This window comes from Homo sapiens, chromosome 2 (assembly GCF_000001405.40).
Source record: "Homo sapiens chromosome 2, GRCh38.p14 Primary Assembly".
NCBI lineage: Eukaryota > Metazoa > Chordata > Mammalia > Primates > Hominidae > Homo > Homo sapiens.
In genome coordinates this window covers 37,739,004-37,760,364 of record NC_000002.12, presented here as the reverse complement: position 1 = coordinate 37,760,364, position 21,361 = coordinate 37,739,004, and the positions used below count along the sequence as shown (strand labels likewise).

Below are 21,361 nucleotides of genomic sequence, written 5' to 3'. Positions count from 1 at the left end.
ATAGTATTTATTACTATCAAATATAATATTATGCATTTATTTTTAGTCTAGCTCTTCTAGTAGGATGTAGCTTCACAAGGACAGGGATTTTGTCCGTCTTATTCACTACTATATCCATGGTGCCCAGTGCAGAGTTTACAACATTTAGATGGTACTCAATAAAGATTTGATAACTATCCTCAATAAAAATGTATTGCCCTTCTATGATACAGGGTATAGTCTCTTGACTTTGTAATTTCAACATTCAAATACAACCCAGTCCACTCTTTTCTAAGCTAGTCATGTAAACCACCTGTTTTCTTCAGAACTGAGACACTTATGCATTATACCTGTTCTCACCAACAGCTGTGTCTGCTTATTGGCTTACTTTGAAGACAACTTTAAGGAGCTCTTGTTAAGAACCACTGCTACTTCAGTCAAATACTGGTTATCTCAGAAATGGTCTTTTCTCCTGTAGAGAGCTCAGAGCCACTAAGCAGGCCTTCTAAAGGTTCCTTCATCAGGGCTAAGGGAGCAGTGATTCTGAGAACACAGCAGTGTAGGGAAGTGCTTGGAGGGTCTCTGCATCCAGCTGGGTCAAATCTCAGCCCCGTGACCTAGGCAGTCACAGGATCTTCCTTGAAGGTCAGTTATGAAGAAAAACTTGTCAAGACCATGGTGAAAACAGCATAGCAAGGGCAGAGGATCCAAGTAGAACACCTGGTGAGCTGACCAGCTGAGAAGGGACTCCTGATCGGAGTTTTAATGAAAAACCAAAGCATGCATTGAGGGAACAGATGGCAGTCTTGATGGACAAGGAAAGGAATTCAGATTGGACACTGAAAGCCATGGTGGACTATAGAAAGCATTCATTCCACAGGCGGAGTAACCTAGGCTGAGCCAGGTCCCTGTCCACACTTGTTAGGTGGGTAAACTCAAGCCAGCTTCATCCTATCTGAACGCATGTTCTCATCTGTTCATTGTGATGCTGGTAATCAAAACCTATAGATTCAAGGAAAGGCTAAACAATGACAAGTAATGTTTGTGAAATGATTCTAAATTATAAAGAACTTTCCTAATGCATATTGCTGATGTCTGGGGCCAGTAACCTGGTGGTGCAATAAAGAGCTCCAGGCCGGATTAGAAAGACCAGGGCTTGAATGCCTGCCCTGCCACCTATTAACTTTATGGCCTTGGGCTGATTATTCCCTCTGAGACTTGCTCTTTCATCTGTAAAAGGGAAATGGATACTTGTGAGGATTCGCTTATATCTAAAGAGACTAGTCAAGCACCTAGCACATCATCTCCACCACCACCACCATTGTCATCATGGCCAAGGTTAGTTTAAGCACTCACTGTCTGCTGCATTGTTCTAAGAGATTCAGGTGCATGTAGGTAGATATTGTTATTCTGAGGCCTAGGGAGGTTAAGTAATTTACCCGAAGTCACAGATAGGAGTGGTAGAGCTTGGATTAGGACCCAAACAGTTAAGCACAGCACATGGGGGTAGTTTTTGACAATAGTGCAAATCTGCTACCAACGTAGGCCAATTTTTAGAAAGTCCCTTTGTGAAATAACAGACTGTCAGAAGAATTCATGGTTTCTAAAGAATTTGATCATGGAAAAGAGAAATCCCTTAGAATGGTCCCTAGATCCTTATCACCTGCTATTTAAAAAAAGAGTTGATTCTGCTAGAGAATATGTAATTGATTCCACTTCCAGGAAGAAAGGATGTTGAATTAACAATGGAAACTGAAATCCCTACCTCTGAGCTCTTCTCCCCTACTTGTAAAATCCCTGAAAACAATCCTGGTCAGCTTTGAGGTTGTCTGTATCAGTGAAGGAATTCCTCTAAGCCCACCAAGGAGGCAATGGGTTGGAGTGAAAACATGATTACACAAGGGAGTAACCTCATTTGCATCCTTGAGAGGGTAAGTAGTTGCAGCCCACAGCAGAGGTTGCTGGTTCACCCAGTGGTGACCTGCTGTTGCATTTCTCCCATCCACATGTGAGGCCATAAATCCACAGGGCAGGAAAAAGTCTAACCCCATGGCTTAAGCTTTAAGCAACTTTCTCTGAGAAATCATATGCCTATTTCTACATTTTTAATCCTTGCTCTCTGGGTCACAGGTCAGTGCCATCAGTGGGTAGAAGCTACCAGTCTTCCCTTACAAAAGACTTCTCCATTCTTTGGCCAAAGCAGAAAGGCATCGAAAGGGAAAGAAGCACTCCACTTCATGCCAGGATTTTCCCCTTAGATATTTCTCACTTGTGTAAAATACCAGCAGTAATGTTAGATACACAGATCTAGCTACAGACCCTTTATCTATGAGCTCCATCCACATCACTTCTGAGAAGCTGCAATAGCAATGCTTGAGTCTTTGCCAACCTTGAGACCATGAGGTATTCCTTAAACTTTCATTTTATTATCTTATCAAGATCATCTCTCAGTCTGTGAAATGGGTCTTTAAATTAGCAAGATTTTGAAACACCATGTGCCCAGAGAATTCCTAGGAAGAATATGGTCATAAAAATAAAATCATGCTATTTACCAAAAAAAGGCAACAACAACAGAAACAAAATCATAAATTAAGGCAATAAACTACATCTATTGGGAATGACTGGGGCAAGACAGAGGGTCCTTTCTACATGCCTAACTGAAATGTTCTATTAAGTTTTAAGCAATCCTGTTTACAGCAGATATAAATTAAAGTAACAGTGAGGCCATAAAATAGAGCAGCTGTTCTCCATCTCCACTGATGATAGAACAAGAGAGAAAGGCTGGTCAGACTTAAGGAAGACTTCTTGGTAGAGAGACCTATAATGCTAATGGGGACAGTGAGAAAAGATGGAAGTGTTGAGAAGTCATCTCCTTTGAAACACATTTAAAGGGCACAGATTAAGTGAATTTTACATGCACTTTGAAGTCCTTCACACTTGACCAAGGTTCTATAACAGCCCTCCATTTCTCTGTACATTTAGCTATTCTACTCCAAATAAATGGATCTCCTTACCAAAAATGCCACAAGAATACAATTGCACATCTAAGACAATTGTGGAAGCTAATTAGCAACTGGTAATCCGAAGTGAAAATGAGCAATGATTTCTGTGCTGAAGTGGCTGGGTTTAAGGCCAAAAATTGAGTGATTTAAGGGATTTCTGACCCCACAGCCTACAAGTCCGCATGATTAACAGCTGAGTTAACCAGACACACATAATGCCTGGCTCGCGCTTGCCTCTACTTGCTGGACTTACCTTCCCTAAAATGCTGCATTTTTAGGGTAATCCAGAGTATATGCCATGCCCACCAACTCTGCACTATCCCTAATAGCCCCTACCCCACAGGGATTTGGAGGCAGCAAATGGAAGTGCAGGCAATGGGGAAAAGAATGTAATATTTGAAATTATGGCAGAAATTCAAAGATGTTATATAAGCCATATTGAATCCTGCTTGTCTAATAAAGTTTGATTCATCAGAATGACCTAGTCATTTTTGGTCAATTCAGATGTACTGTATCTGACAATATTCCAAACTTAATAATTTCTTAAAATTACAAAAACATCTTCAATTTACAAAGTTATCTGAGGGACTTTATTTTTGTTTCTTTTTTATTTGGTTGGTTTATTGCTAAATGCTTTTAATACAGTGGTTTTTAGGGTACGTGTATGTTTCTAGCAAATATAAAAAGAATTATATACCATGACCAAGTGGAATTTATCCCAGGAACTCAAGAGTGGTTCAACATATAAAAATCAACCTCTCTTATACACTAAGTCAGTAAAATGAGGCAAAAACCACATGACTATTTCAATAGATGTGGAAAGGGCATTTGACAAAATCCAACAGCATTTCATTATAAAAACACTAAAAAAATTAGGAATAGGATGGAAATTCCTCAACCTGATGAAGAGAATTTACAAAAAGAAACACAGCTAAATCATATGTAATGGTAAGAGATTAAAAGCTTTTCCTCTAAGATCAGGAATAAGACAGGCATGTCCACTCTTGCCACTTGTATTTGACATTGTATGGGAAGTTCTGGTCAGGGCAATTAGGCAAGAAAAGAAAGAAAAGGCATGCAAAGTAGGCAAAAGTTGATATTGCAGTTTTGAGTGTGAAAATTGTAGGGCAGGCAAGCAGGCAAAATACAGACAGAATTTCTGCATAACTGTCTTGAGGCAAAATTCCTTCTTCTCAGGGAAACCTCCATTTTTGCTCTGAAGGCCTTCACCGATTGGATGAGGATGACTCACATTATGCAGGGTTATCTCTTTTTCTTAAAGCCAATCAAGTGTAGATGTTAACCACATCTACAAAATACCTTCACAAATGACTGGGTTCCATAGCCTAGCCAAGTGACACATAATATTTAACCATCATAACAAGGGTACCAAGACAATTCAATGTGGAAAGACTAGTCTTCTCAACAAATGGGCTGGGACAACTGGTAATCCAGCTGCAAAAATGTTAAGTTGGGCACCTATCTCACCGCATATACAAAACTTAACTCAAAGTGAATCATAGACCTAAAAGTGGGAGCTAAAACTATAAAATTCTTAGAAGAAAACATAGGAGTAAGTTGTAACCTTGGATTAGGGAATAGTTGACCAGAAACACCTGTACTTTTTAAAAAATAAAAACAGGCATGAGCCACCATGCCCAGCCTGTTTTATGAGTTTGCCTATTGTTGATATTTCATATAGATGGAATCATACAATATGTGGCCTATTGTATCTGGCTTCTTTCACATGGCATAATGTTTTCAATGTTCATATATGTTGTAGCATGTATCAGTACTTCATTCTCTTATGGCTAATTTTCCATTGTAGGGATATATCACTTCTGTTTATCTATTTATCAATTGACGGATATTTGAGTTGTTTTCATCTTTTGGCAATTGCAATATAGATATTAGGAATATTCATGTATAAGGTTTTGTGTGAACATGTTTTCATTTCTCTTGGGTGTATATCTACAAGTGGAATTGCTGGAGCATATGGCAATTCTGTGTTTAACTTACTAAGGAATGTCCAATCTGTTTTCCACAGTAACTGCACCATTTTATATGTCCCCAGCAATGTATGAGAGTTCCAGTTTCTCCACATCCTCACCAACACTTGTTTTATTTTCTTTTATTATAGCCATCCTAATGGGTGTGAAGTAGTATCTCACTGTGGCTTTGATTTGCATTTCCCTGACGGCTAGTGATATTGAGCATCTTTTCATGTGCTGAAAACACTCAATGTTAGATTGTTTAAACACATACATACAAACACCCCTCGACACACACACATCACTAATGAGCATGTTACTGACAGCCATTTAACACAGAACCAGCAAATTTAGAATATTTGCTTTTCGTGTGTGCAAAAGAAAAATGCATACAACTCATCTTTAAATCTGATAACTTGAGAACATGTTAGAAATGCAAGATCTCTAGCCCCTCCCCAGATCTACTAAATAAGACTCTGCATTTTTCAACAAGATCCCCAGGGGACTCGTATGTACAATGAAGTTTGAGAAGCCCAAGTCTATAGGAATTTAAAAGCCAACTTAAAATTTGTGTATCTAATTCAACAGCCATATGAGGGCTAATGACAGTACCTACTTCATAGAGTTGTTTTGAGGATCAAATGAACCCATGCATATGAAATTCTTAGAATGGCACCTAGCAGAGTAAGGACCATATAAGTGTTCACTATCAGCATTGATTTGTATTGACTGTTGTATTGATTTTCATTGATTATAGTTTTCTAAGGGCTTTATTATATCTCTTCCTCCTCATAAGAGTTCAGTGAGATAGAAGAGAAATATACATTATTTTCCCAATTTTATAGTATAGGAAACTGAGACTCAGAGAGGGTAAATGATGTGCTTACCATCAAATATTACTTTTAATTACCTGTTTTTGCCCCAATTTCCATTACGTTTAATGCCAAAAACCACAATTACTTTTGCACCAACCCAATAGCTAATACATGGCAAGATTCAAGCCCAGGAATTTCAATACACTGTCTATGCTTCACTTTCAAGTATATATTACAAACAGTTATTCTGTTGCTGGAGAGAAGTCTTAGCTTAGATTTGCATCTCTCAAAGGTTGAGAGTAAAACATCAGAGTTTGGTGTTGGTGTTTCAGTGTGCCTATACCATTAAAGGTGGGTCTGAAGATCTGTTTCCACTTTTACTTTTTAAAAATTGGCAATATAACTTTTGAAGTACTTTCTCTTTTATTGGAATGGGTCAGAGTGTCTACACAGAGGTTGAGAATCCCTGGAGGGTGCAGGCTGGTGAGCATCGGGGAAGGATGGCTACGGCTTCACCTTCACCCACACTCTGCTCAGCTCACCGTCCACTTCCAGGGTGGTTCTGACCATCATACACAGTTTACAGTTGTGTTTATTCTTAGTCTCACACAATTTAAGTAGACCTTAGTAAATTATTTGCTAAAACCAGGAAGTATAAGGAACACTCACGTTAAAAACAAGCCGATAACGAGCATAAAAAAGACAAGCACCCCGCAAGTTTCCCTCACAATATGCCAGTTACCAGATTTGATGACGTTCATCTCTTCAAATTCTCATTAAAAAGTCTGCAGGATTTCAAAAACCAGTGTTGAAGAAAGAAACTCTACACACGATCTGGGGGAATGATATTAATAGTGTTAACGGCTGAATTGTGTCCCCTAAAAGTAATATGCTGAAGTCCTAGCCCCTAATACCTCATGATGTGACTGCATTTGAAGATAGGGTTTTTAAAGAGGTAATTAAACTAAAGTGAAGTTATTAGGTGGGTCCTAATCCAATAGGACTGGTGTCCTTATAAGAAGAAATGCAAGCTGGGCACAGTGACTCACACCTATAGTCCCAGCACTTTGGAAGGCCAAGGCAGGAGGATCATTTAAGCCCAGGAGTTCAAGACTAGCCAGGGCAATATGACAAAACTTGTCTCTACCGAAAAAAAAAAAAAAAAAAAATTAGCCAGGCATGGTGATGCATGCCTGAAGTCACACCTACTTGAGAGGCTGAGGTGGGAGGATCACTTGAGCCTGGGAAGTAGAGGCTGCAGTGAGCCGTGATTGCGTCACTGCACTCCAGCCTGGGCAACAGAGTGAGACCGTGTCTCAAAAAATAAAAGAGGAAATTTAGGCACAAGTACAGAGGGCAGGAAGGGAGGACCATGTGAGGACACAGGGAGCAGGCAGCTATCTACAAGCCAAGGAGAGAGGCCTCAGGAGAAACCAAGCCTGTCGGCACCTTGATCGAGTCCTTCTGGCCTTCAAACTGTGAGAAAATTAAATTCTGTTGTTCAGGCCTCCAGTCTGTTGTACTTCATTAAGGCAGCTCTAGGAAACTCATACAATATCTAAAATTAGGTGGTGTTTGCTATATTCCAAGTACTTTGACACATGTTTACAATGCATTTTCTCATTGAAACATTACACAACTCTCCGATGGATGTTACTACTATCCCGATAGTACTGCTGAGAAAGTTAAGGCACAAATAAGGCACACAGTTTGCTCTATGTTACACAGATAGTAAATGACTGTCAAAAACTGGATATGAATCCAGGTTTTCTTTTTTTTCTTTATTTTATTTTACTTTTTTGAGATGGAGTCTCGCTCTGCTGCCCAGGCTGGAGTGCAGTGGTGCGATCTCGGCTCACTGCAACCTCCGCCTCCTGGGTTCACGCCATTCTCCTACCTCAGCCTCCCAAGTAGCTGGGACTACAGGTGCTCACCACCATGCCTGGCTAATTTTTTGTATTTTTAGTAGAGACGGGGTTTCACCGTGTTAGCCAGGATGGTCTCGATCTCCTGACCTTGTGACCCGCCCGTCTCGGCTTCCCGAAGTGCTGGGATTGCAGGCCTCAGCCACCATGCCCGGCCTGAATCCAGGTTTTCTAATTCCACAGACCATGCTGTTACCCAGGAATAAGTTTATTTACAACACCCATGTGTGATTTCCAAAGAAGTAGTTTCTTTGGAATTTGTATTCCAATCTGAAAAAGTCTTTCTGATCTTTCCATTTAGAAATAGAAATATTAAGCGAATCTAGTTTTTGTAAGAATTATATGAAAAATAATATTTCATGGTCAGAAAGTATTTTATAAGAATATTATGAAAAAAAGGATATTTCAAGGTCAGGAAAGTATTTTGATGCCATAAAGTTAAATTTCAATCTATGTCTTAATATGCATTCATGACTCAAATTATGTTTTCTGACATAAGCATCAACTGAAAAGTGAGAAAGTAAAAATAAATGAGCTTAAAAGTATATGTTATATATGATTTCTAAACAGTAGCTTAAAATAAACATTGTGATAGAAATTTCCATATTATACTTCTATCAAGTGAAAAATTTCATATACTGCATCATATCATATCCAAATAAAATTCATTCGCCATTAATTTCACAAATATTTACTGAGCTCTAACTATGTCCCAGGCAGTAAGCTAGGCACTAGGAATAAAAAATAACAAAAAAGATGCGGACCCTGTCTTAGTGGAGTCTGTTGTCCGAAACCAAATAACTACAGGTAAGCAAGCCAATTCAATCATTGCAAGTTGTAAAAGTGTTAAGAAGGGAGTGGGTCAGGATTGAGAGCAACAGCAGGGTAATTTCCTCTAGACACGGTGGTCAGAAAAATTTTCATGATACTTAAGCTAAGACCTGAAGGATGAAATAGAGCTGAACTGAAGGCAGGAACATTTCGAGTGAGAATGAGTGGTTTTGAGCCACTGGAAGAAGAGGGAAGGGTGGTGAGAGAAGTTGGAGAGGTGGCCAGGAGCCAGGTAATGCAGTGAAGGGGTGGCCTGCCCCTCCACACCTGTGGGTATTCCCATCAGGGGGGACGAGAGACTGAGAAAAGAAATAAGACACAGAGACAAAGTATAGAGAAAGAACAGTGGGCCCAGGAGACTGGCGTTCAGCATACGGAGGACCTGCACTGGCCCCGGTCTCTGAGTTCCCTCAGTTATTATTATTTTCACTATCTCAGCAACGGGAATGCAGCAGGAGAACAGGGTGATAGTTGGGAGAAGGTCAGCAAGAAAACATGTGAGCAAAGGAATCTGTGTCACAAATAAGTTCAAGGGAAGGTACTATGCCTGGATGTGCATGTAGGCCAGATTTATGTTTCTTTCCGCCCAAACATCTCAGTGGAGTAAAGAATAACAAAGCAGCATTGCTGCCAACATGTCTCGCCTCCTGCCATAGTGTGTTTTTTCTCCTATCTCAGAATTGAACAAATGTACAATCGGGTTTTATACCAAGACATTCAGTTCCCAGGGGCAGGCAGGAGACAGTGGCCTTCGTCTATCTCAACTGCAAGAGGCTTTCCTCTTTTACTAATCCACCTCAACACAGACCCTTCACGGATGTCGGGCTGGGGAACGGTCAGGTCTCTCATCTCACGAGGCCATATTTCAGACCATCACATGGGGAGAAACCATGGACAATACCTGGTTTTCCTGGGCAGAGGTCCCTGCGGCTTTCTGCAGTGCATTGTGCCCCTGGTTAATCGAGAATGGAGAATGGCGATGACTTTTACCAAGCATACTGCCTGCAAACATATTGTTAACAAGGCGCATCCTGCACAGCCCTAGATCCCTTAAACCTTGATTCCATACAACGCATGTTTCTGTGAGCACAAGGTTGGGGCTAAAGTTACAGATTAACAGCATCTCAAGGCAAAACAATTGTTCAGGGTATAGATCAAAATGGAGTTTCTTATGTCTTCCTTTTCTACATAGACACAGTAACACTCTGATCTCTCTTTCTTTTCCCTGCAATGCAGGGCCTCAGGGCTTTCATGAGAAACTCAATGCAGTGGAAAGCCAGAAGGGTGTTAAGTGGGGAGTGAGGAGTGATGCCATCAGGCCTGTTTTGGGAAAGCACTTCTGCTGTTGTGTAGAGGTAACTGCAGGAAGCCAAGCCCTTGTGGAGAGACTCAGTAAGAGACTCTTGCAACATTCCAGGTGTCAAAGAGTTCACTGCAGAAGCAGCAGCAGACATGAAAAGGAGATGAATTTTAGATCTATTTTGCTGGTAGAATTGATAGAATTTGGTAATAGATGGAATATACAAGAGTAGAGGGGATGGTAAGAGAAACGGGAAAATCAAGGATGACTCCTAGAGCTTTGGGGAAGATGATGGTTGCGTTTCCTGAGGTGGAGAAGTGTGTGTATATGTGTGGGGTGGGTGGGTGAGGGGACTGGTGGATGTAGAAGGGGTGGGTGGGTGAGGGGACTGGTGGATGCAGAAGGAGGTAGTCTAGGTCTGCTGCTGGAGACCCATCAAGTCTCAGGCTCCTTCCATTTTTCTGCTCCCCCATCTCAGCGCATGGCTGTCATCCTCGTTGTCACAAAATGGCTGCTAAATTCTAGCCTCACAGTCATATTTAAAACAGGAAGATAAAAAAGGGAGCAAGATGGTTTCAACCCTCACCTGAAAAAAGAAAACTTTACTGGAAATCCGCACAGATTTCTGCTTATACCTCCTTAGCTAACACTGTACTCCAAAGCTAGTCCTTCTTGCATGGAATGCTGAAAAGTATAGCGTGGAAACTGACACAAGTAAGTCAATTACACCCACCCCTAACAAAATCAGGGTTCTCTTATCAAGATGATACAAGAAAGGATATTCGGTAGACAGCCTGCAAGGTCTGATAGACCGCCCTGTGATTGAGTTAGCCTGCGAATATCAGTAGGTTGAAGGACAAGATGATTTTAAGTTTACTTGGATCTCAGTTCTTCATGAGTGAGCAATATGCATAATGAGCACTGGCAAATTTGGGGCTGTCCTCTTTCTGCTTAAAAACAACCCCCAATTTGTCAAAAGAAAAGACCAGTCTTCCATCATTGACCTCTCCACTATCTCCCAACTGTATCCCCAGAACTTTTCTCGTCTCATAGGGGTTGTGTCATGTGGATGCATTGCCACTGGGCTTGGTGTTCCGCCACTAGTATGTTCACACCAAATGTCCTGAGAGCATGGCCTGGCCAAACTGAATGTCCGATCTTTTTTGCTGCATATTACCTTTTGATCCTGGGAAGGTGAGTGCTACCTTAGCTCAGTGCAGCCTCCTCACCTTAGTCTCCAGGGCATTTTGGATGACTCTGGTGTATCAGCCAGTTCTCAGCACTTCTGTTTGGGTTGCTGCAGCCTTTTGTCTCTGTGCATTATACCTGAACCTTCTCCTCCATGGCAGAAAGCAGGGGTCTGTCTAAACACTGTAGTCCATTATCCCTGTACAAAGATAGACTGTACTCTGCTGGAATTTAATCTGGAAACGTTTAATACATTTGCAGCACAAGTGCCAGCTACTTTAAGAGGAGAGATGATCACTTTTCTTCTCTTAAAGAGAAACTTCTAACTGAATATAAATCAACTTCCTCAATATGCTCATCATACCTGATAATGAAAACAGTCCTCATTGAGAGAAATCTGTGGTCTCCTGGGAAGAGCTTTGGCCAACAACAAAGAAAAGGGGAAAGAAAGAAGAGGAAAAAAAAAGGGCGGGGGGAGAGGCTCTAACTGTATCGAATAAGAAACCACTCTTTATCTGGAAGAAATTCAGCAAATGAGTGCCTTGTCAAGCTACTCTAGTGGAAACAAGGACAATTAAGACAGCGCAAACCATCCCCAAATGCTTGCATTTGGGACTTGCTGAACATCTCAAGCTGTTTTCCAAATGCTTGGGGTTTGGCACAGTCCAGGCTCATGGTGGGAAACTTTCCTGAAGGTCTGTCTAAATGCTCCTATTTTTATTCCATCTCCTTGCAGTTAATATCCGCTTAATTTGCTCCAAATTCTGCATTTGATATATGTTAGATATCTTCAGACCCTGGCTGTGCCTATTCTCCTTCATGTGGTTGCCAGAAATTTCAGAGTATTATCATCATGCCTGGTTTCCAAAGTAGACAGTCATTCCTTCCTCTTTGTCCACCATTCTTGGGGATTAGAAGGACTGTGATGAGAATGCAGAGGGGACCATGATGTGTGTGGTACTGCAGAAAGATTTGGGAATGCTGGCTTTGAGAAGCAAAGACTCAGGGAGAAGCGATAACTGTCTTCACAGTTTTGAAAGAATAGCAGATGGAGAGGGATTAAACCTATTCTCTGTGGCTCCAGAGGGGTGGAGCTAGGACCAGAGGCCTAAATGGGCTCTGTACAAGAAAGACTTTCTCATTTCAGAGCAGCCAGAGAGACCTGCCTCTTCTTCACCAAAGGGATAGGTCTTTGTTGGAGGTTTTTAATGATGTACCATTAATTTTTGGAGACTGAAAAATGATTTAATAAAGCTATTCAAGTAGAGACTGAATAGTTGAATTCAAAGACCTTGAAGTGCCTTTCTTTAAGTGTCGGGCACTGCACACCAACACTTAGCACAGTGCCTGGCATATAAGAGGTGCTGAATAGTTATTTGTTGAATGTGCAAGTAGTTGATGGGATGAAAAGCTCACAGTGTTATTGGGAGTATCAAGCATTGATACACCCTTGAAAAATTGGGTCAATAGGAAGGAAGCCCTGGATGTACTAAATGTAGCCATCTTTTCTCTGAGCAGGGCCATTGTTTCCTGCCTTTTTAAAGTTTAAAGAAGACAACCTTCTTGACTCTACTTCCTTCTTCAGCATTTCACTGAGGCCCAGGTTGAAACTGCTCTTTTGCTGCCACCCAATATGGTCTCTAAACTCGCAGCTGAGGATGTAGGAAATAGTGACCTCTAAGTTGGATTAGGCTTAAATGACACTCATATTCCTTGTTGGCCCTCAACAAAATATAAATAAAATCATCATGTTACAGAGCCCACTTGAGGGGGGTCCTGTGTTATGAATTAACACTCAGGCCATCTCTGTTCTTTTATTCAATAATTATTTTTGAAGGTTGGCTACTCTCCGACTGTGTGCACCCCAGGAAAAGGTGCCCCTGCACTGATAGGCTGCTGAGGCCGCCTATCAGGGGAAGGAAAAACTGCACGTGTCCTCAGGCAAGGTGAGCAGAACATAGGGACCTCATCATTTCAGCAGTGAGCAACTATGTATTTGGCTTTCGGAGGCAATGAGAGATATTCAAGAGCCAAGTCTGTAAAGTACAGGGAGAACCTGCATCAATTAAGCAACTCTGCTTATCAGTATTATTTCCCATGAAATCTCATTTAATAGTCATAAGAATACAATAGAATAGGAAGGTACAGCCCTATTTTATAGGTGAGGAAACAGGATTGGCACAGCAAAGTGAGTTGCCTGAGTTCGTTCTGCAAATACCAGCAGGGCCGGGGGCAAGCCAGGCTGTCGGCCCCTAGGGCTTGTGTTCTTGCCCTGACATCATGAACAAGAGATATTAACATACTTTCTTTTCCAAGGTTATTTGTCATTATTGTTTGTCTGGCAAATAACCTAACCCAGCCTTTGACCTGAAGCTTTTTTTTTTTTTTTTTTTTGAGATGGAGTCCCTATCTGTCATCCAGGCTGGAGTGCAGTGGTGTGATCTTGGCTCACTGCAACCTCCGCCTCCCAGGTTCAAGTGATTCTCCTGCCTCAACCTCCCAAGTAGCTGGGATTACAGGTATGTGCCACCACACCTGGCTAATTTTTGTATTTTTAGTAGAGACAGGGTTTCACCATGTTGGCCAGGCTGGTCTTGAACTCCTGACCTCAAGTAATCTGCCCACCTGGGCCTCCCAAAGTGCTGAGATTACAGGAATGAACCACCACACCACCTGAAATATATTTTGCTGCCTAAGATTGTCATATACAGATTTGAAAAACTAAAGGAGGGAGACTGAGCCAGTCAGGTCCCAGTATATCCCAGTAGGAGCAGGAAAGGAAACCTCTTCAGGGGAGGAAGCATTATGGGTCTGAGTTTGTAAACAGCCACCTATTCGTGGAGGTCTCAGCCCATTTCCACCCCATTCCAAAGGTGAGTTCCCACTGCATCCTCAAATTTCTGAGACTTTATAAACTTTGTATGTCTACAAAGCAAGTACCAAATCACTGCAAATTGTACTCCATTAATTAAGAATAATTATTTTTGGTTGAAAGATGAGCCCTATCCCAGACCCACCACTTAACAGCCACATGATCTCGGGTAGCCTACTTTGCTTTGGATGGTCAGTTTCCTCAGGCATCAAATAGAAGTGGGAGTCCAGGTCCCAGTGACCTTAAAGAACTGTCATGGGACCAAGTAAAAAAACAAAGCATGTGAAGACATTTTGCAACCACAAAAGGCTAATTATAAGAATGAAGTTAGTCACCATTGTTTGTTAATACTTTTCTATGGGAATTAAAACACCTTTGGTTTGAAGTTAGAAAAAAAAAGAAAGCCATAAACTGAATAGATTGACTGTCTTTACATAAGTTCATTTTTAAAAACAGACAATTTTTTATAGTATGCTATGTGAAAATGGAAATTTCATACTGGGTCTCAAGATTTCTACTTGAGCTTGAAGGCAGTTTCCTTAAATAAGAACTGACTCCTTCATCAATTGGCTCCAACTAAATTATGCATCTCAAAAGAATCAGCCCCGAGTTCCAGAAACTAGAAAAAGAAAAAAAAAGTCTATAGTAGCTTCCAGTTTTTCTTGGGTCATTAGTAGGTGCGCTAGAGAATTTCACTATTTTTTTCTATGAGCATAGCTTCGGAATTACACAAAGTTTAACCCAATTACAGCTGCCACAACCCAGAAGGTAGGGAGGAGAGGGAAGAGGAAAATGAAAGCCAATGGTGAGGCCAGTCTCATATTTTCCTTTTTTTCCAATAAATAATAAAGTATTTGAGTGTTTCAATGAGAACCTGCAGAGCTTGGGGGAAATCTTGAAGGCTGGCAAGGTGGGGTATCTGAAAGGTGGGAGAGGTGGCCTGTGAACTTTATGGGGGGGCCTTAGGGTGCTCCAAAACACTGATGGGAAGATGGTTTTCTATCTCATGATCATGCAACACAGATGTGAGCTGAGAAGTTAATTTCATAGTCTTTTTTCTCTTTTTTTAAATTTAATTGTGTTTTTCTTTCCTCATCCCTGTGATCACTGGGAGATAAGCCTTTTTTTCTTTTTCTTTCTTAATTGACACATAATAATTGTACATATTTATAGGGCATATGTAATATTTCAGTACATGCATATAATGTGTAATGACCAAATCAGGGTAATTGTCATATCTATCAGCTCAACCACTTATCATTTCTTTGTATTGGGAACACTCCAAATCCTCTCTTCCAGCTATTTTGAAATACACAGTAAATTATTAATTATAGTCACCCTGCTATACTATGGGATACTAGAAGTTATTCCTCCTATCTAACTATATTTTTGTATTTGTTAATCAACCTCTCCCTGTCCCTCTTCCCCACTACCCTTCCCAGCCTCCTGTATTTTACTTTCTACTTCTATGAGATCAACTTCTTTAGCTCCCACATATGAATGAAACATATGATATTTGTCTTTCTGCACCTGGCTTATTTCACTTAGAAAAAATACTCATCATGGCCAGGCGTGGTGGCTCACGCCTGTAATCCCAGGACTTTGGGAGGCCAAGGCGGGTAGATCACGAGGTCAGGAGTTCGAGACCAGCCTGACCAACATGGTGAAACCTCGTCTCTACTAAAAATACAAAAGATTAGCCAGGCATGGTGGTGTGCACCTGTAATCCCAGCTACTCAGGAGGCTGAGGCAGGAGAATCACTTGAACCCAGGAGACAGAGGTTGCAGTGAGCTGAGATCATGCCACCGCACTCCAGCCTAGGTGACAGAGGGAGACGCCATCTCAAAAAAAATTAAAAATAAAAATAAATAAATAAATAAATAAAATAAAATAAAAAGAAAAAATACTCACCATTAGTAATCAAGAAAATGCAAATTGTCAACTCTTGTTTGACAACAATTACCTGAAAGTATTTTGAGAGTAACGTCAGCGAACTCAAGACCTTCTACCTGTTGATAAAGCAAACAGTAAATACAGTAAATATAAACTGCCTAATGTTTATACTAAATAACTTGTTTCAAAAATATGCAAGCCATCATGCAAACATTAAACTAATAATAATAATAAATGTTGGTCATTCATTCCTTCTTAAAACATATCCATTTGCTCTACTGTCATAAAACTATCATTTATATTTAATTCATATTTCTTTAACATAAAGGATACATTTTGAGCACTCAGAAATGCTTAGACAGCATCTTTTACTTCAAAATCGCAAAGCATTTTTGGCCACAGTATTTTGTTTTCATAATTATAAATGAATATAGTGACACGCTTTAGGATCACTTAAGTTTGCTCTTTTGGGGACTCATGATGTTAACCACTTTAAGCTTTCTTAATGAAATATCATTGACTGAATGAGTAACCAGGTTAGTGACCCTGTCACGAATATCTTTTTTGTCCACTGAGCTGTGACATCATGGGGGCCCAAGGAGAAGTTCTGATTTGGGGATTCCTTTCCTGCTTCTGGGAGCTGACAGCAGAAAAGATTCCTAGAGGTAAGGTGGGGAGTGGAAGCAGAAGGGACAGAGATCAAGAAAAGAAATCTCATCTCTACTTCCCACCAGCAGTGTCCAGAGAGATGAATAAGAAGATTAACAGCTTCGCAGCCCGCTGAAGACGCAGCCAAGGCCAGACTCCCAGAGCCTGGACTTCTACCCTACCCCATACAGCCAGGGAGTTTGGGGGAGCCATAGCAAGAGGATTTATCTTCTGAGAGTTCAGGGGGAAGTTCTTCAGCTGCTCACCTTATGATCTGAAGACCCTCCCCTCTGGCCCCCTCACCTCACAGTCCCTCTAACTTTCTGTCCCCTGCAGTCTCCCAGCCTGATGGTCCTCCTCAGACTTCTCCTCTCGTACCTGGAGCTTGACACTGCTCTGCCCTGCTAAACCTGCATGAAGAACCACAAAGAACTGTGCTCACTAGAGTTCCTGATAACGTGACTGTCACCACAAAAGTAAGAAGGGTCAGAAAGATTCGATTGGCTCAACCATAGCTTCTTCTGAGTCCCTCATTGTACTTTAAATGGCACAAGCCACATTGGGGATAAAAGGGCACTGAAGAGTAAGAGAATGTCCACTATTCATGTTCATTACCAATGATGATAATGAGAAGCACAAATTGGAACTCTTTCTAGGATTTTTTTTAACTGCCTTCAGATACCCAGCCATCATCACCACCATCACTGCCACTACCATCATCACTGTCTTCATTATCATCATCATTATGATCATCACAGTTCACATGTACTGAGTACTTATTATACAGTGGGCAATATTTTAAGCTGTTATATATTTAAATCTTCATAGTAACCCTATGAGGGAGGTACTGTCAACCCCATTTTACAGATGAGGATAGGAAAACACAGTGAGTTCAGGTCATTTGCCCAGCTAGCCAATAGGAGAGCCAGGATCTTAAATCCCAGCTAGTCTGATTCTAGACCTGGAATCAGGGTTCATAGATTCCACTGCTATATTATATTGTCACAAAATACAAATAGGTTTTGAACGTTTGATATTATTTTTGCATTTAAAAAAACTTTTCCTTATTCACTATAATATCCAAAAGAGCTGATACTTTGTTTTTCATTATTATTATTGTTGTCATTATTTTAGAAATTTTAGATATAATATAATTCACTTTTGGAGCAGATTTTCTATATTTGGGTGGAAAGGACCAAAAAGGGCACATTAATTTCACAAATATAAAACACGTGCTTTTATTTTTCTTGGAGAAAATTGAAGCTATTATAAACCCGGATGTAGATGCTGCAGACCTTTTATTAAGTTCTGTTTTGTAATATAAATGGAATGTATTTTTAAGATGACTATATCCTTGCAGAATTAGAGCCACTTTTTTTGCCCCTTAATATGGATGGGAGCTGTGCAGTTGGGATAGCACATGAAGTGCGATTTAAGACTGGATAAGCCAGCATTTGGAGGGCAGAGCTCACCATCTGGGTAGTGGCAGGAGTTTCCCGGGAGGAGATGGACGTTTGCACTCTGGGTCATTCTGTGATAGGAAGAAAGCTGGAGACCAGGCCTGTGAGGTGGAGAGAGGCCTGGAGAGGTTCAGTGGGGGCTGGGCAGGGCTTCTAGGGACAAGTCAGAGAGCTGGGGTAGGGGAGTGGGAGCTCAGAGGTCAGGAATTGGTCTGCAAGCCCTAAATGAAACCTCTGGTGGTATTAACTATGTTACTGTATTAGTCCATTCTCACACTGCTGTAAAGACATACCTGAGACTCGGTAATTTAGAAAGAAAAGAGGTTTAATCCACTCCCAGTTCTGCGGGCTATACTGGCTTCTGCTTCTGGGTAGGCTTCAGGAAACTTAGAATCATGGCGGAAGGCGAAAGGGAAGCAGGCACATCTACATGATGGGTCGAGGGGGGAAGGTGCCACACACTTAAACGACCAGATCTCATGAGAACCTATCACGGGACGGCACTAGGGGGATGGTGCCAAACCATTAGAAACCACCCCCATGATCCAGTCACCTCCCACCAGGCCCCTCCTCCAATACTGGGAATCACAACATGACATGAGATTTGAGTAGGGACGCAGAGCCAAAACATATCAGTTACTCTCTGTTGTTCTCGGACTATCCTTATTTTTTCAGTTAAACTCCAGGGCCTTGTCTTAACTGTGCTTTGGACACTTGAAAAACAGGCCAGTCCTCATAATGGGATCCACCAGTGCTCTGGGAACACCTGTGGCTGGGGGCAATAACTAACAAGGACACGCCAGCTCCAGGCATCCCAGAACTTACAACAGTCAGCTGCCCAGTAAAAGAAGGCATGCCTCATTCGAGAAAGGGGCTTGGACTTCGGTAGTCTGAATATTAAAGATTTAATTGACCAGCCTGGCCAACATAGCAAAAATCCATCTCTACTAAAAATACAAAAAGCATTGGCCAGGCATGGTGGTGCACACCTGTAATCCCAGCTACTCGGGAGGCTGAGGCAGGAGAATCACTTGAACCCAGGAGGCAGAGGTTGCAGTGAGCTGAGATCATGCCGCTGCACTCCAGCCTGGGCGGCAGAGCAACTCTCTGTCACGAAAGAAAAAATAAAAGATTTAATTACAGGTTAAAGAAGTCTGGGGATAAATTTCAATTGTGTTGAAGTAATGTATGCTGTTGAACAATGGCAGAAATCTAGGTCAATATGTAGTGGAATATGTGGTGCTTCATTTTGCTAATCAAGGATTTCTCAAAATTAAGAAGCAAATAGACCTTTTATAAAAAGGAAAAATTCTTACAGATTCTCAATGCTATATTTTATTATAATATTACTGAAGTGTATACAACTATAAATCTAGGTATAAAGTCCTTTATTTCTTATACAACCATAGAACCAAAACAATTCAAAGTTAATATAGACTTACAAAAGCACACTATTTAATTAATAATAGCAATTTAATGGGACCGATGATGTTATTTTGATAAGCAAAATGACCAAAATGAGGTTTAGGAGTAGAAGTAGGAGGCTTGGCTCCACTTCTACATTTAATTCTGTTCCTGAATTTTGACCTCAGAAAGCTACTGTAGTGAGTATTTATTAGGACAATTATACTATAAGAAATTGCAAAACACAAAAGTTTTGTTTTTCTAGTTCAAGATAAGCAGACCTCAAATTCAATTTTAAAAAGTTCTGTCAGTAAACAAGCCTCAAATGCGAATTTTGTTGATTTGCCATTTGTTGACCTTATATGGCTGCCTTATATATTCAAAGATGAAGCTACATTAGAGGAATTTTTGAAACCTGCACTTTATGGGAATCTAATGCAACTAACTGTGGTGTGAATCAGAAACAGAACATTTTCCATTGTGTATTTCCTCCTCACTGCAAGCTGGTCTGAACAACAAGGCGGTCTGGGTAATGTATCTGTTCACCACATACATGAATACACTACTCACAGCTCAGTGCTAGTTCAGCTCAGCATGCCTCTATCATCACCAGCATTGACTAGCTCAATTCTCCCACTCCTTTTTCTACTGCAAAATCTACGTTCAAGCAGTATGCTATGTCTTTATCCTCTATTTGATGCTAGCATAAACAGAAAACAGAATTACAAATGCAAGCACTGAATTATGTAGTGGTATTTCATGATGATGTAGTCATCCAGATGGTGAGTAGAGATCTGACTTTTTTAAAGATTATCATCAAAATGATAACCTCCAAATAAATTCCTGAGTGGCAAACAGCAATCCTCAAGGATATATCCTGGAGCTCTAGGTGGAGAACCAAGGAGGTGCTCAGGCTTCCCCGATGTGGATGTGAGAACAGGGTAATGATACCAGCTGTGGGACAGGCCTGCCCTGGCTTTGCCACCATCTGCTCTGGGTGAAGTCTACCTGCCCTCAGATTCTTTGAAAAGAATTCTGGGTGTCCCTGATGTCTCACCTGAACTCTGAGAACAAGTTCTCACAGTAGTGTCCTTTTTTTCTTTTTTCCTCCTGGCACTTCCCCCTGAATGCTGTCTCTCCTGCCACCATTTAAGACGTGATCTGCTTCCCCTTTGCCTTCTGCCATGATTGTAAGTTTCCTGAGGCCTTCCAAGCCATGCAGAACTGAGTCAATTAAACCTCTTTTGATTATAAATTATTCAGTCTCAGGTATTCTTTATAGCAGGGTGAAAATGGACTAATACACCTGGAAACTCTTTCAATGCAATTGCTAGAATAATTGTAAGGCTCACCTTGTTTCTCATTCCTCAGGGATCTCTGTCCTTCATTATCCGATGTTCCCTGTCTTGAAAAATAGTTTCATCTAATTTATCAGATTTTTCTTAGGTTGTTTCAGGCAGGTAATTTCAGTCCCTATTACTCCATCTTGGCCAGAATTGGAAGTGTCACAGTAGTGGCCTTTTTTTCCCTCCTTTTGCTGTGGCAATGCCTCTAGTCATTGCTGAGGAAGAAAAGCGTCAGTTCTGTCCCTTGGTGCCCATTAATGCCATCACCACAGCTGCTCCTACCTAGCAAGGGCATCATTGATGTTGTCTGCTGTCACTGCAATGTCAGTGCGAAGCCCTGATGACGTGCTGGTGGCTGAGCTGAGGTGGTGGGACCTGCAAGTTCCTCTGCAGTGGCTGCCATCGGTGATGCTGATGCCTCAGCTTCTTTGTATCTTATGTGAGTTCATAGAGAAACAGCTTTCCCAGTGGCTCTAAGGCCCAGGCTGGAGACTAGGCTGGATTCAAGCTTTATTTCAAATTACTGCTCTCTTCTAATAGGCCCATACTCTTCTTAAACAAGGTGGTAGACCACAGCTGTCTTTACTTTTCGACCTTTTTAGTCTCAGGTGGTCCTTTCACTCTTCCATGTAAGCAGAGCTCTGAGACGCTGCCTCTTGCAATCCACCAAGTGCACCCAAACAGGCCTGAATCCACAGGTGACCTC

At 41.2% G+C, this 21,361-nt stretch overlaps 1 long non-coding RNA gene across 1 annotated transcript in view; it reads right to left on the bottom strand.

Annotated features, from left to right (window-relative positions):
* Positions 1–16,936, bottom strand: part of LOC107985869 (uncharacterized) — a 46,872-nt gene extending 29,936 nt beyond the window's left edge. The window contains exons 1-2 of the long non-coding RNA XR_001739409.2: positions 16,749–16,936; positions 15,868–15,913 (exon numbers count right to left, since the gene is read on the bottom strand). This is a non-coding gene — a long non-coding RNA (uncharacterized LOC107985869). The remainder of the gene's footprint in view (positions 1–15,867; positions 15,914–16,748) is intronic.
* Between the last annotated feature and the right edge of the window lie 4,425 nt (positions 16,937–21,361).